The sequence below is a fragment of the Homo sapiens genome, chromosome 11 (genome assembly GCF_000001405.40).
Source record: "Homo sapiens chromosome 11, GRCh38.p14 Primary Assembly".
NCBI lineage: Eukaryota > Metazoa > Chordata > Mammalia > Primates > Hominidae > Homo > Homo sapiens.
In genome coordinates, this window is record NC_000011.10 from 85,437,133 (window position 1) to 85,452,959 (window position 15,827).

The window sequence follows — 15,827 nt, forward strand, 5'->3', positions numbered from 1 at the left end:
TACACCAGGAACTGCGTGGGGAGGGATGCAAGGGGAGGGAGAGCATCAGGACAAATAGCCAATGCATGTGGGGCTTAAAACCTAGGTGACGGGTTGATAGGTGCAGCAAACCACCATGCCACATGTATACCTATGTGACAAACCTGCATGTTCTGCTCATGTATCCTGGAACTTAAAGTAAAAAAAAAAACAAAAAAAAAGAGAAGAAACAATGATACATATTTTCTAAGAAGGGTAACATGGGATGTTTCATACATTGACTGCCAAAAAGTCATAGAAAATAGAAAATTAATTTATTTGTGCTAATGTGGCAACATCACTCTGTAAAATCAGTTATTCATTAAGCATCTACTATGTACCCAGGGTCTTTGCTAAGTATTAGGAATAAGAGAGAGACAAGATAGTGCTCTTGTCCTCAGTGACCTAGTAGGGGACACAAATATACACTACTCAAAAAAAGAGTCTATATTTTACAAACTCTATTCAATTATTGAGTTATTAATTTCTTTACATAAGGCTTAACAGCACAAATTTTAGAGTAAGTGAAATAAATCATTTGTTTTTTAACTAGTGCCAAAATTTTTAATTTTTTTCTTTATAATGGAACTAATATAAGTTAATTTAGGAAATATAGAAGATATGTATAATTAAAAGTAAAGGAAAAAAGAAAAAATAAAGTAAAATAAAGTGAATCCTTCATCTGTAGATAACCTTCATGAAAATTTTGGACGTACTCACCCACACTATCTTCTAAAAATACATAAACACATAGAGAACAATACTGTCTTAGCCTATTTGTGTTGCTATAAAGGAATACCTGATGCTGAGTAATTTATAAAGAATAAAGGTTTATTTGACTCTTGGTTCTGCAGGCTGTACAAGTAGCATGGCATCAGCATCTGCTTCTGATGAGGGCTTCAGAGAGCTTCTACTCATGGTGGAAGGCCAAGGGGGATGAGGCACTACATACTGAGAGAAGAAAGAGAAGGATGGGAAGGAGGTACTAGGCTCTTTTTAACACAGAGATCTGGTGGGAACTATAGAGCAAGAACTCACTCATTACCCTAAGGATGGCATCAAACTGGTCATAAGACATCTGCCCCCATGACCCAAACACCTCCCAACGGACTCCACCTGCAACATTGGGAATCAAATTTTAACATGAGATTTGGAGGGAAAAAATATCCAAACTATATAAAATACTTGCTGTGACACAATTTTTTTAACTTAGTTGTTGTTTTTCTTGTCTTTATTTTCTACAGGAATATTCATGCCCTGATATATTTTAAAATTAAAATTTTTGTTAAGATAATTATAGACTTACTTGCAATTGTAAATATGTATATATCCATTACTTTTAATAGCAAAAACCGCAATTACTTTTGCACCAACCTATAATATACAGAGATATCTTATACACTTTACACAGTTTCACCCAATGGAAATATTTCATAAAACTATAGTACAATATCACAAACAGGATACTGGCATTGGTACCACACAATGATATCACTCATATTTCCCATTTTACTTGTCCTCATCTTTGTGTGTGTATGTACATGTATATCATGTGTATATAGGAGAATTTTGTTCTATACAATTTTATCATGTACGTAGGTTCCAGTTTCTACTATCGGAGTCAAGATACTGAACAGCTGAATCGCAAGGACACCTCTTGTCCTTTTATAACCCCACCCACCTCATCTCATCCCCACCTCTATCTCTACCCTCTGATAACCACAAATCTGTCCTCTATTTCTAAAATTTTGTCATTTCAAAATGTTATGTAAATGGAATCAATCATATATTATGTAACCTTTTTGTTTTGGCTTTTTCTACGCAGCATAATTCCCTGAAGAGTCATCCAACTTATGTATATATTAATAGTTTCTTCCTTTTTGTTGCTGAGTAGTATTCCATGGTACTAATATACCACAGATTGTTTAACTGTTCACCTACTGAATGAGCTGGTTCCAGATTTTGGCTATTAAAAATAAACTGCTGTGAACATTCACATATAAGATTTTGTGTGACCATATGGTAATTGCATGTTTCGTTTTATAAGAAAGTATTCAACCTTTTCCCACAGCGGCTGTGCTATTTTACTTTCCCACCAGCAATGAATGAATGACCCAGTCTAGTTGCAAGTTCAGGATCTGCTACATGTTAACCAGGTGAACTTAGGCAAGCTACTTTATTACTTTTAGGCTTCGCTTCCTCAGCATTTTTTTTTTTTTTTTTTGAGACTGGACAGCCTCGCTCTGTCGCCCAGGCTGCAGTGCAGTGGCTTGATCTCTGCTCACTGCAACCTCCGCCTTCCAGGTTCACGCCATTCTCCTGACTCAGCCTCCTAAGTAGCTGGGACTACAGGCACCCACCACCACACCCGGCTAATTTTTTGTATTTTTAGTAGAGACGGGGTTTCACCATGTTAGCCAGGATGGTCTCAATCTCCTGACCTCATGATGTACCCGCCTCGGCCTCCCAAAGTGCTGGAATTACAGGTGTGAGCCACCGCGCCCGGCCTGTTTCCTCAGCTTTTAATCCGAGGATCACAATATGTTTTTAGGGCTGTTACTGGGATTAAAAGAGATATATGTGTGAAACAAAAAGTCAAAAAGTAGTAACAGAGTATAGAGTAATGGCTAAGAAGACACATTGCATATTAAAGAGCCTTATTTTATGAATAAATGTTTGCAGTAAGGAGGAAAATGCCTGGAGTTAAGCAGGAAGACTGGATATTAGAAAGGAAGAGAATATAAAGTATAGATTAGTGCCATTTTTGCTTAATAAGGTCATAAACGCTAGATAGAGGTATTTTATTTTAATGTGTAAAAATCCTAGGCTCTGAAATCAGACTGTCTGGATTTGAATTCCACCTCTATCTCTTACTATATGGCTTAGGTAGGTTACTTATCTTCTTTGTGCTTTAATACTTTTATCTATAAAATTATAATATGACTAATATTTACTTCATCAATCTGTTGTGAAGATTAAAAGTGTTGATACACATAATGAAGTTAGACTTATGCCTACAACAAAATAATTATTAACCATTATCATTTTTAAATGTCTGCTTTGTCTCCCTTCTATGTATTCGCTGTATGACCTTGGATAAATCATGTAACAATTGCTGTGTCTCAGTTTCCTTATCTGTACAAAAGAATAAAATATTATAGAACTATGATAAAGATTAAATGTGATAACATATTTAAGATGTTTGGTACATAGCAAACATGATATAAATGTTAGCTCCCTTCCCTTCCTAATCATCAATTATGTCACTATATTGTAACCAGACATTTTTCTCATTTCTCCCAGGAGTAAGGCTGTCACCTGTCACTTTTCCCAAGAGTATGCCTTTGTACAGCTGCTTAACTTGCTGCGTGAAGTTTAGAGTACAGAAGCTTTGCACCAAAGTATACTTTAATAGTTCACAAGTGTCTTTATGCTCAATTTCTAGTAATAGACTGTTTTTGAAAATTCATTCCTAAAAATGTGTGTCTCTCAACTAGGACAAAGTTGCTATAGTGATGATTACTTATTTTTTCCAGAGGGAAATAAATTAGGTAAACACAACCATATTATCATCTTGTCTAACAGTATATTAAAGAAGAAAGACTAGGCTCTTTATAAGTGGGTATAAAGCACAGCAGGTAGAGTGGAGATTCCTGGCAGAACTTATAGGCTCTGGTGTTATAAATTCCATGAAACATGGGGCCTAGGCAACCCTATGAAGTAGATAATTTGGGTCTGTAAACTCAAAATTAATAAGATCTCAAATAGACTTCCTCTGAGAAGCATGGTGGTACCTTGTCACGTCCATTTGACTCAGCTGTTTTGATTCAGGAGCATTTTGATATTTGGGCATTTTGACACCTCCTAAAAGCAAACAATTAAGCTTTCAGCTTTTATGATAACTGTGTAACTTGTATTAAAACAGGAACATCATCCCTAAGTCTTAACCCTTTGTGATGGGGTCAAGGATGAGATGGAGGAGAGCTTAAACATCTCACAAGAGCACCGAAGTATATATTTTATTAAGATTTCTTCTGTATATCCCACAGAAAGCACAGCTCAGGAGTCAAATCTAAACTCATCACTTTCTCCCCTGATCCCACTCTCATTTCTCCCCCTTACCGACCCTACTCTAAATATGGTTTTCCTTATATTTGTAAATGGTACCATCATCCACACTTTCAACCAGAAGTTAACTCCTCCCTCTTCATAACCAATCCTTTATAATAGGCCTGAGTCTTCTCCAGTATATTTCCTATGTGCTTCTTAAATCTCTCATTTCCTTTTCCTCCCTTCTGCCAATGATTTTGTTAAGGTCCTGATTATCTTTCAACTGATCACTGTAATACTCTCCAAATTGGTATCTCTGACTCCAGTCTCAATCAATGATCACTTATTCATTCAGTCAACAAATATTTATTATTATTATATGTTAAGCTCTGAATATACAACGGTGAGCAAGGTAGCCATGGTTCCCACTCTTGTGGACTTTATAGCTTTCACAAAAAGAGAATTAAATTATTGATAGCACAAAGTGTGGTAAATGCTATGATTCACTCATCTAAAAACTACTGTTAGGCAGAATCTACTAATGTATAAAGGCACTGTTCTAGTCCCTGAGGATATAAAAATGAATGACAGACAAGGATCCTGTCCAGGAATAAATACATAATTTTAAAAATATGATAGTTTCAAGTAATGGCGAGTGCTATTTAAAACATAATAAATAGTAATATGATAGAGCACAAGTGGAAGATGTAAGGATAGCTAAGTAGTCTTGGTGGTAAAGGAAGGATTTTCTGACTTAAGCTAAGACCAGAATGATGAGAAGAAAACCAGCCATGAAGAGATCCAGAGGAAAGTATCCCATACAGAAGAAAAAATCAATGTAAAAGCTGTTAGGGACAAGCTGAGACACAATGAGCAAGGAAATAAGTGGCAGGAGATGAAGTCGGAAAGCTCCATAGAGAATATATTATGTATATCTTTACAGAACATGTCAAAAGATTTGGATTTTTATCCTAAGTGTAGTAGAATGCCATTTAAAACAGAGAAATGACATGATCAAACTTACATTTTTAAAGAAGACTTCTGACTGCTGTGGTAAAAATGGATACCAGGAGCAAAAGTAGAATTAGGAAGGCCAGTAAGTCAACTCCTAAAGTACTCTAAGCAAGACATCATGTTGGCTTGGACTAGAGCAGTAGCAGTGGCATATACAAGAAGTATAAATATGGTCAAGTTATATTTAGAGTTAGAGACAGTGAGACTTGATGATAGATTAGACGCGGGGATGAAAAGAAAGTGGAATCAAAAATGACTCATCAGAGTTTAGCATGAGAAACCTCGGTATATGGTGGTGCCATTACCAGGGATGAGAAAGTTAGAAATAAAAGGATAGCAAAAGAGAAATTAAAAGTTTTCTTTTGGGTCAGGTACAATGGCTCGTGCCTGTAATCCCAGCACTTTGGAAGGCCAAAGAAGGAGGATGGCTTGAGGTCAGGAGTTTGATACCAGCCTTGGCAACATAGCAAGACCTGTCTCTACCTAAATAAAAAAAAATAAAAAATAAATTAAAAAAAATAGCCAGACATGGTGGCATGTACCTGTAGTCCCAGCTATTCAGGAAGCTGAGGCAGGAAGGTTACTTGAGGCCAGCAGTTCAAGGCAGTGAGATTTCATCACGCGACTACACTCCAACCTTAGCAAAAGAACAAGAACTTCTCTCAAAAAAAGGAAGAAGGAAGAAGAAGAAGGGAAGAAGAAGAAAGAAGAAGAAGGAGGAAGAAGGAGGGAAGATAAAAAGGTTTTCTTTTTGAACAAGTTAAGTTGTTAGGCAAAGTACAGTGCTATGACAATATACAACGGGGGGAAATATAACAAACTAATGGTGTCAGGAAATGATTCCAATAGAAAATAAGATGTGAAAAAAAAGAATTGAAAAAATCCTCCGTAATAGTCAGTGTAATCTTTATAAAATACACATTTGACTAGAACATTTTTCTTAAGATCTGTCACTAATTTTTTTATCTACTACAGCACGATTTCTCTGAATACCCTTTAAGATGTCAATCTCCTCCATCAGACTGTGAGTCCCTTGGGTGAAGAATTCATTGTTGTTCATTCACAATTTATCACAATAACTAGAAAATAGTAATTGTGACTTCAACCTAAAACACAGTACTTGTTACATTGAACATAGAACATAGCCCTGTGTTAAGTGGGTAATCTAGCTGTGTAATTGTCAAGTCGCTTAGTCTCTCTGAGGCTTATTTCTTCAATTATGAAAGACAGAACCTCTTTAAGATCACCTCCAACTTTAATATTCTATGTTTCTCTGTGATATGTGAAAACTTTACGTTTGAAAGTCATTTGCAATCAATTAGAATTCCAATCCAGACTTGTGTGACTCTTAAATGTGCTACACAGTTTCTCAACACCTCTGTTTCTTCATGTGTGAAATAAAAAATTAAAATATTGCTCCACTTCATAGAAAATCTCATTGATGACATAAACCATATTTAAATGTCAAATGATTAAAATAGTAAGCAAAATTCTGCAAATGAAAGAACATTTTTTCTTAAATGATTTGTGATCAGAAATGAGACTTGTTGCCTGCTAAATTATGCCTTACTACATTTGGAAGGAATATGTTCATAACTAATGATTTCTCTTTGTTTTGTCTTTTATCAAGCTGTTCTTTGGTGTGTGTGAATCATTACAAGAACAACAAAGTAAGCCCTAATTTTTTCAGGAGTATGTTTGTGAAATACAACACAAATGTACAACCTCTTCCAGCTCTTTATATTCTTCACCAGCCTTCTCTATTTTGTTTTTACCATTGTATCAAATCTCCAATTTTTAAATATTCACCAATGGCAAAGTATGATTTTATGTAGAACCAACTTTTCAAGAACATTATATCCTATTATATGATATTCACTCTATGTTCAATAATTTTACTTCATTCACCTACTACCTCAATGTGTTTTACAGTGGAAAATTTTAACTCCAACTTAAAAAAATGCTACCAAAATCAAAAATCTTTTGGAAACACAACAGAAATGAAACATAATTCAAGAAATCTAAAAATATAAACTGGAAAAACGTATACTGAAATGGAATGAACAGGGGTAGGAATGCCAGCACTGGTAGGAGTTATCCTTGACCACGACATTTGCAGCTATAGCTGAGTAAAAAAAAAAGTTAATCCCAGTGGAATTGCTCTATGGCTAACAGGCAGTATGTAAAGAGTGTTATAATATCAGTTTGTTTTCAGGATAATACACCCTTTTAAAAGCTAGACACATTTTGGTGGAAACTGGCTAACATTCACCAATCCTACTACCTTTGCTTCCTTAGGCACAGTTAGATTCTACTACCAAGATCCTTTGGAGCTAGGTGCAGCCAGATGTCCAAATTGTGGCCAGTGGAATATGGATAAATCTTCTCCACAAGGCAACATGCATGCCCTCGACAAGAGCTATGCCCATCTCTTCTGGCTGCCAGGCCAGTAAATAAAAGATCTCTGGTCTATGTTCATGAGACAGCTGGTGGGAAGGAACACAGCAGCTACCTGTTATAGGCTTCTGTCTTTGATTTTGCATAACTATGCTTCTAATACATTTACTAGAAAGTTAAGTTGGTACAAAAGTAATTGTGGTTCTTGTAGTTACTTTTAATAGCAAAAGCCACAATTACTTTTGCACCAACCTAATAGTGTATATTGCCTTTCTTAGCAAAAACTGTACTTGCCAGAACCATTGCTGAGAAGATTTATAACTTTGTTTACAAGGTTAAAAATAAAATATAACCATGAGAATAAAAAGGATTAGGAGGTTGAATTTAAAACATTAAAACCAAAAATAAAATAAGAGAAAGAACAGATAAAACAACATAAATCTGGGGAATAAAAGTGTACTAAAACAATGATAGACCAACATCTACAAATTCTACCAAAAATGCTGTACCTGGTAGATATTAAATAGCATATGCTGTTGAGGAATTCAATATCTTGAAATCAGGACAAATACTATCTGCAAAGAGGAGTAGTTAAAAGATTTAATGTAAAGGATTTTGGATGGTGGGGAGAAACAATTACAAGGAAACAGGCAGAAATGGACTCCAGACATGTTTTTGAGAGGGTTTAGACTCTCCCATCTCCTGGACAAATCCAGAAGCCATACCTCTGGAGAAGAGCCACAACAAAGCCCATTGTGATAGGAGTCTCAAAATTGAAAGCACTGGCCGGGCGCGGTGGCTCATGCCTGTAATCCCAGCACTTTGGGTGGCCAAGGTGGGTGGATCACCTGAGGTCAGGAGTTTGAGACCAGCCTGGTCAACATGGTGAAACCCCGTCTCTACTGAAAAATGCAAAAAATTAGCTGTGCATCATGGCCTGCGCCTGTAATCCCAGCTACTCAGGAGGCTGAGGCAGGAGAATCGCCTGAACCTGGGAGGTGGAGGTTGCAGTGAGCCGAGGTTGCACCACTCCTGTCCAGCCTGGGCAACGAGAGTGAAACTCCGTCTCAAAAAAACAAAAAGATTGAAAGCACTAATCAGAACAGGCACACCTCATTTAAAAAGAGACACATTCCTAAAAGTGGTATAGAGTTTTAATTTTTATTTTTTCTTTTAAACACACAATTTCCTTTTTTAGAACCTAACACAGTGGGCACTCTATAAAAATTTTGGGATTGATGAAACCATTGATGGAGGAAACCATGGAGGCTTTCCATCCATTACTCACACATTGCTCTATATATTATGTACACTGCCTCTAATCTACAGATGAGAAATTTTAGGCACAGAGATATTAAACAACTTGCCCAAAGCCACAAATATGTCTGCTGACTCTAAAACCCATTGTTTACAACTTGTGGCTTTGTTTGTTAAAAGATCCCTTCCTCTTTAAGTAAAAGAGCAAATTTTACCTTACAAACCATCAGACCCTAAATTAATCTACCTGAAAAATAAAATGTTGGTATGGTGTTTTGAGTTGTTTCAAAGTGAGACACATTAAGGACAAAGTATTTGAGAACATTTAAAGGTCTTTTAACTTCATTAGGGATTTTAAGTCTGATAGATTTAACATGCCTCTACAAAATGTACAATCTAATCATGTTGAAAGATCAAATCTAGAATAAGCCCTATCAATTAGCACAAGAATAACAGTGCCATTTGTTGCCATTGGAGGAAATGGTTTTGTTATAGATTTCTAAGAGAAATTAGTTAGATTTTACTTTGAAGGCCATAAAATGTTGTTTATATTCTTTTTCAAATAACAATTCTTGTAATAAGATAACAAAGACATACTGCTTTGTAATTCTTATGAAAATAAATTTGTTAATAATCACTTAAAATAATAGCTTCCATTTGTTTAGTAAATATCGATCAGGTAAATGTTCTAGGCACTTTATAAACATCTTATTTAATCCTTGCTACAACTATTTAAGATAAAATACTATTTTTCACATTTTATAGGTTCATTAAGGCTTAAATAACTAAAATTATGTAGCGTGAATCATACAACCACAGATGCATCTTATTCTAAAGCCCATGCTATCTCCATTGTGTCCTAACTGGAGCTACCTTAAAAGAAATATTACTCAGTGACAACTCCAGTTTGAAGGGATATAGTATATGTGTGTGTGTGTGTGTGTGTGTGTGTGTGTGTTTATATATTGATATATAATATTTTAAAATTTAGAATGTAAATTTGTTTTAAAATGAAAAACTTCTAAGAAAAAGCTTTGTATATCAAAGACAATAAATACATTCTGCCATTTGAATAAAATCTTTTAGTCTAATGAATCACGGCAATTTTACGTTATTTAAAAAGAGAAAGGCAACACAGTGTGCATTGGTCATAAGTTGAAAATATTCCATTGTAAAGTCAAAAAATCATAAATAGAACCATTATAAATTAAAGACCAACTGTACAGAAGTTCTAATCTGCCATTTAATTGACTAGTTGTATAACTAATCTTACAATTTTCACTTTAAGTCTTCAAACTTCACCCATACTGATAATCTAGCTTTCACTTCTTTATTTAACAAATACTAAATTCTAGAAACATTGACAGACTCCAAGAATACTATGATGAAAAACACATTTGTTATGGACTGAATTGTGTCTCCCCTGCCCCCTGCCCAAACTAATATGTTGAAATTCTAACTCCCAGTACTTCAGAATGTGACTATATTTAGAGATGGGGTCTTTAAAGAGGAAATCAAGTTAAATGAGGTAATTAGGGTGGAACCTAATCCAATATGACTGGTGACTTTATAAGAAAAGGAGAAGATTAGGACACAGATACAGAAGGAAGACCATATGACAATACAAGGGGAAGATAGCCATCTGCAAGCCAAGGAGAGAGGTCCCAAAGAAACCAACCTTGCCAACCATTGCCAACCACCTTGATCTTGGAATATTAGCTTCAAGAATTGTGAGAAAATAAATTTTTGCTCTTTAAACAATTGAATTTGTGATATTTATTATGGCAGCTCTAGAAAACTAATACATATTTCATGATTTATTTGTGTTCCCTCAGTCATTACCCTAAACATTAAAGTAAAAATTTGAAGCTTAAAATTTCTGAAAAAAAAATTATGAAAAGGTCAAATCCCAAGAAAGCAAAGAAACCATAAGTATTTTTATTTTGGAACTTTAACTGAAATTAGACTTGTACATCAATAAATTTGAGAGGGATGAGATAGACAGAAAAGGCAATTGTTTCCCAAACTGATCTTAACCAATCTCTTTGAAAATGTTTTCCCAAAAGTCTAATAATTCTAGGAATTCTCTGAACTTGGAGGCAGCTTAGAGCAATGGACAGATCGTTGACCTTACAGACAGTTAAATCTCAGTAGCTAGCTGACTCTGGGCAAGTTATTTAGCATTTCTTAGCCTCGATTGCTAATATGAAAATTAAGAAACTCATAGTTTGACTCAAATGAAATAATCCAAATTAAAGCGATTTTTATACTTGAAAGTACCTTACAATGTTTTCATGAGGAATAATTTTCCTGCTTTAGCAATCTAAAAAGCCCTATCAGAAAAGGATATCAATGAATTTCTAATCTAAACTAGACTATTGCTAAGAAACAACATTAAGTTTACCATTTCCTGGAAACTATTCATTTTTAAAACACTACATTCAGTATTCTGGAATTGCCTCAATTCTCCTTGAGCATTCAAATAATGAGCAGAGACCTTGAGATAAGATTTGGGGTGAGAAAGTAAAAATAAATTCAGACACCAAAAATCTGCCCTGACATTCATCAGGCTGGAATAATAGGCCCAGATAAAGCTGGCTGGAAAGTTAAAAGGAAACACTATTTCACCCAAGGATATGCTGCCATTATAAAGTATCATCACAACCCCTTTCTTTGAATGCCTACTGCTTTCTTACTGAAAAACTTTGTTCTATAAAATCAAAGACAATCAGAGACTTTGCTTCTGAAATTCTCTCAGTAAAAATGAAATATCCCACTCTTGTCTGGAGATTCTAAGTCACTTTGACACAGAGAAGTAGCCTCTATTTAGGATCCAGGAAATACCTTCAGATAAGGGTTTGGGGACCCAATATTCAACATCTATCTTATCTTTATTGCTTCCAAGGAAACAAGTCCATTGCCACATCCACATCTAAAGCATTTACACATAGCCTTGCTCCTTCCTTTCCTTTGAGCCTATCAAACACTAATATATTTAAAGTAGTTCCCATTCTTCATTTCTGACTGTGCTTATTTATGCTTCTCTCTCCCTCTCCCTCCTCCTCTTCCTTCCACTCTCTTTTAAGTCAAACATGGCAGAAGTTGTTTACGTTAATCTTATCAAATGAAACTCAGTCATTATTGATCCTCTTTATTCTGTGTTTTGTTTGTTCAATCAGTATCTTCTCTATTATTTCCTTTTTTCCATTTTATTGAATTTATTCTGTCCTTTTTCTAACATGTTAAATTGGATACTTGGCTTATTAATTTTTTTCCTTTCCTTTTTCTATTTATTTTCCTTGGTTAGAATTTTTATGCTTCCTGAAACAGAGAATTATGTCTTCCATCAATTCTGGAAATTTTTCATCCAGGACTTAAAAATTGCTTCTGCCACATTAATTCTAGTCTCTTCTGGAACTCCAATGGGTGATATCAGCTCTTGTCATTCTAATGTCCATGTCTTTTAACCACTCTTTTATGTTTTTCACCTCTTTGTGATAATTTCTTTAACTCTATCCTTTATTTCATTAATTTATAATTTTCTTTTGTATAATCTTCTTTTTAACCATCTACTTTTTAGTTATTATAATTTTCATTTTTAGGAGGTCTATTTTGTAATTTTTATTTCCTATTCTGCCCCTTCTTTTTAATTATATCTTATTCCTTTCTTATATTAGAGAGTACATGCTTTATTTAAACATTTTAAACATTATATGAAGTGTTTAGTGATATTTTCTGGTAAGTCTCACTTATAGTGATTTATTTCTCATGTATTTTGTAGTTTTCATTCTCAATTTATGTTTTATTAAAGCTGTTTTTAGGTAACTCCATGAAGCCTGGGTTGAAGCTACATTCAGTGAAAGATGATATGCATTTGCTTCTGCCAATCACCTGAGTGCTTTCGAATTGGAACTACCTAAAGTTTTTTTTTTTTTTTAGCTCTAGACTGCTCAGACTACAAAAATGACGTAAATTTTGACTAGGCACAGTGGGTCACGCCTGTAATCCCAGCACTTTGCAAGGCCAAGGTGGGTGGATCACCTGAGGTCGGGAGTTCGAGACCAGCCTGACCAACATGGAGAAATCCTGTCTCTATTAAAAATACAAAATTAGCCGGGCATGATGGTGCATGCCTGTAATCCCAGCTACTTGGGAGGCTGAGAAAGGAGAATCGCTTGAACCCAGGAGGCAGAGGTTGCATGGTGAGCCAAGATCGCACCACTGCACTCCAGCCTGGGCAACAAGAGTGAAACTCCGTTTTAAAAAAAAATGACATAAATTTTAACTTGAAAGCGATATCAGGGCAGCCTTTGTGGTTATCAATTTTCAGAGCAGATATTTCTATTGTTTTCTATGAGAGCCCAGGCTAACACATACCTTCTTGCCAAGTTGTCTTGCTTATCTTCGTTATTTGACAGGGAGACATTTTTTTTCACCTCTACCCTCATATTAATCATAGAGTTAATTTCTGGCTTTATGTGGGTTCTCAGAGATATCTTCACATCTGTGTATATACTAGGCTTTTTCTCCTCCACTGCCTGGTCATTAAAACAGGATTACCATAATTAGCAAATGCCCTCTAGATAGCTATGATATCAGCAACCACCTACAATTCTATTTCCAACTCATCTTCTTTTTTGGCCCCCACAGACTTCCTTTACTTATTTGTGAGCTCACTTAGGAATTTTAAAATATTGTTGCTACTCCATCAAGTAATTGTAAATATCTTATATTAGAGATTTTTTCAGGACATTTTATCTGCAATTTTGCTGGTAATGAAACTCAGTTCACTCTTCAACCAACCCCAATCTGGGGCTTTTACTCTCATCATTACATTGAAACTATTCGCACAAAGATAAAACTTAGCTATAATTTTCTATGAATCTCAATTTATTTGGCCTCTCAGAAGTTTTCGGTGGAATTGAACTATCTTTCCTTCTTCTCTTTTCTCAGCTTCCATAACTCTATATTCTTTTTGTTTCCTCCTACCCATGTAGCTTTTTTCTGCCTCCTTTGCTTGCTCTTCCTCCATATTTCTAAACATTGAAACCACTCAGAGCTTGTTTCTAATCATCTCCTCAATCTACATTCTCATCCTAAGAAATCTTGACCACTTCCATGACTTTATATTATTCACATGCCAACAACTCTTAAATGTGTATCACCAACCCAAAATTATCCTCTAAATTCCAAATCCACATCTCTAACTACCTACATGTCTGCCTGTACATCGCATAGGGATCTCAAACTTCATCTTCTAATCTAACCCATATCTGCAAATGATACATCCATCAACCTACTTATTATTGTCAAAAGTCTAATGGCTAGCCTTGATAACTTCTTCAACTTCTCTGCCACTAACTCACAACCAAACCATTACCAAATTCCATAAATATTACCTAAAAATACATATCTTAAATCAACCCACTTCTCTCCAACAGCAGACCAAGTCACCAACATTTCTTACCCACAATATTGCAACAGATGTAACTGATTTAACTGTTTACTCAGTAACCAGCACCCTCCACCCCCAATACACAATATCTGTAGTGATTTGAAAATATTAAACTGGCTCATGCTGCTCTCTAAACCAAAAAAATTGTGACTTGCTTTATTGTAATATTCACTTTCTTGCAGTGGTCTGGAACTGAAATCACAATACCTCCAAGCTTTGTTTATATATGTAACTTCTCATAAGCTTCTTAACTCTTCTCAGACTCAAATTTTGACATTTATTAAATAAGGATAGTAAAAATACCTAACTCAGAATTATTGTGACAATTAAATTAGATAATTTAGATAATTTGTATATAGTACCTAGCACAGTACCTAGCCCACAGTAAGCCCCCAGTACATTCTTTTAATGCAACAGGGTCTCGCTGTGTTGCCAAGGCTGGTCTTGAACTCTTGGCCCCAAGCAATCCTCTTGCCTCAGCCTCCCAAAGTGCTATGATTACAGGTGAGCCAGCATGCCCTGCCCAATTTTTAATTTTGTTTATTTTTATATTGCTCTGTCATGGAAATTGAGACTAGCTGGTTTTAATTCCTTTTATATTCTATAAACTCATTCGAGGCTTTTGCATGTTGAGTAGCTGAAATTTCTTTTTTTTATTTCAGTATAATACTGTATTTTCCAATGTATTAAATGAAAGCCAAGAAAATATCAAATTAACTTTAAAAGCAAATCTTTACTCTTTAAAGAAAAAATACAAACTGTGGTATTTTTATAATAGATTATATTTTACATAATATAAATAAAATCACTAATGCATCTATATGCTTGGTTTCCTTAAACTACAATGAACCATAGAATGTGTGGAAAATGGGTTTAGTTTTTGGTGAAAAACAAACATCTTGGGAAAAACAGGTAGTTGTTTTTTTTTTTAACTGTCTATGCACAGGCACTGACATAACCAAGCCTTAATGGCCACCACTTCCTTTTCCTTGTCCAAAGCAGCCATTTCCATAGCTCTCCCTTCCATATCCTCACTGGCATCTCCCAGATCCTCTGAAACCTCCACTAGACCTTCTGTAGTCTCCACCAGAGCTACCACTATAGCCACCTCAGTTATGTCCTCTATAGTCTCCACCACCATCTCCACCATATCCTTCCTGACAGGGTGGAGTAGTGCCACCATAGCCTCCACTACTATAGCCTCCATCACTGTAGCCACTGCCATAGCCTCCAACACCATAACTAGAATGTACCCTCCTATATCTACTTCCATTGTCATATCAGGCCATCTTGGGAGGATGTGGACCATCTCCATACTGTGTATTGCCAACCACAAGATTGATAACAGGAGCTAAGGGCCTAGAGATTTGGTGGATAATGTTCAGCATATATTAATTAAAAGGGTCCAACTGGCTGAAGATATCAGGTTGTTTGTTACTTCAACAACCAGAGGTTGTTGAATCTTCAACTCCAAGATTTCCTGGAAAGCAGTAATGCAGGCAGCAGCTTCATGGGATATTTGCAGTTTAATTCAGTCATCTACAAGAACAATCTGCCTATCACATTATACTTTCTTGAAGGCAAAGAGAAGCAACTTCAGGGAGGTGACTAAGGTCATGCCTTTAGCAGAGATGGC

General features: G+C 35.5%; 1 protein-coding gene across 12 annotated transcripts in view; it reads right to left on the reverse strand.

Moving 5' to 3' along the window:
• Positions 1-15,827, reverse strand: part of DLG2 (discs large MAGUK scaffold protein 2) — a 2,173,362-nt gene that overhangs the window by 1,982,121 nt on the left and 175,414 nt on the right. The gene's annotated exons all lie outside the window — the stretch shown is intronic.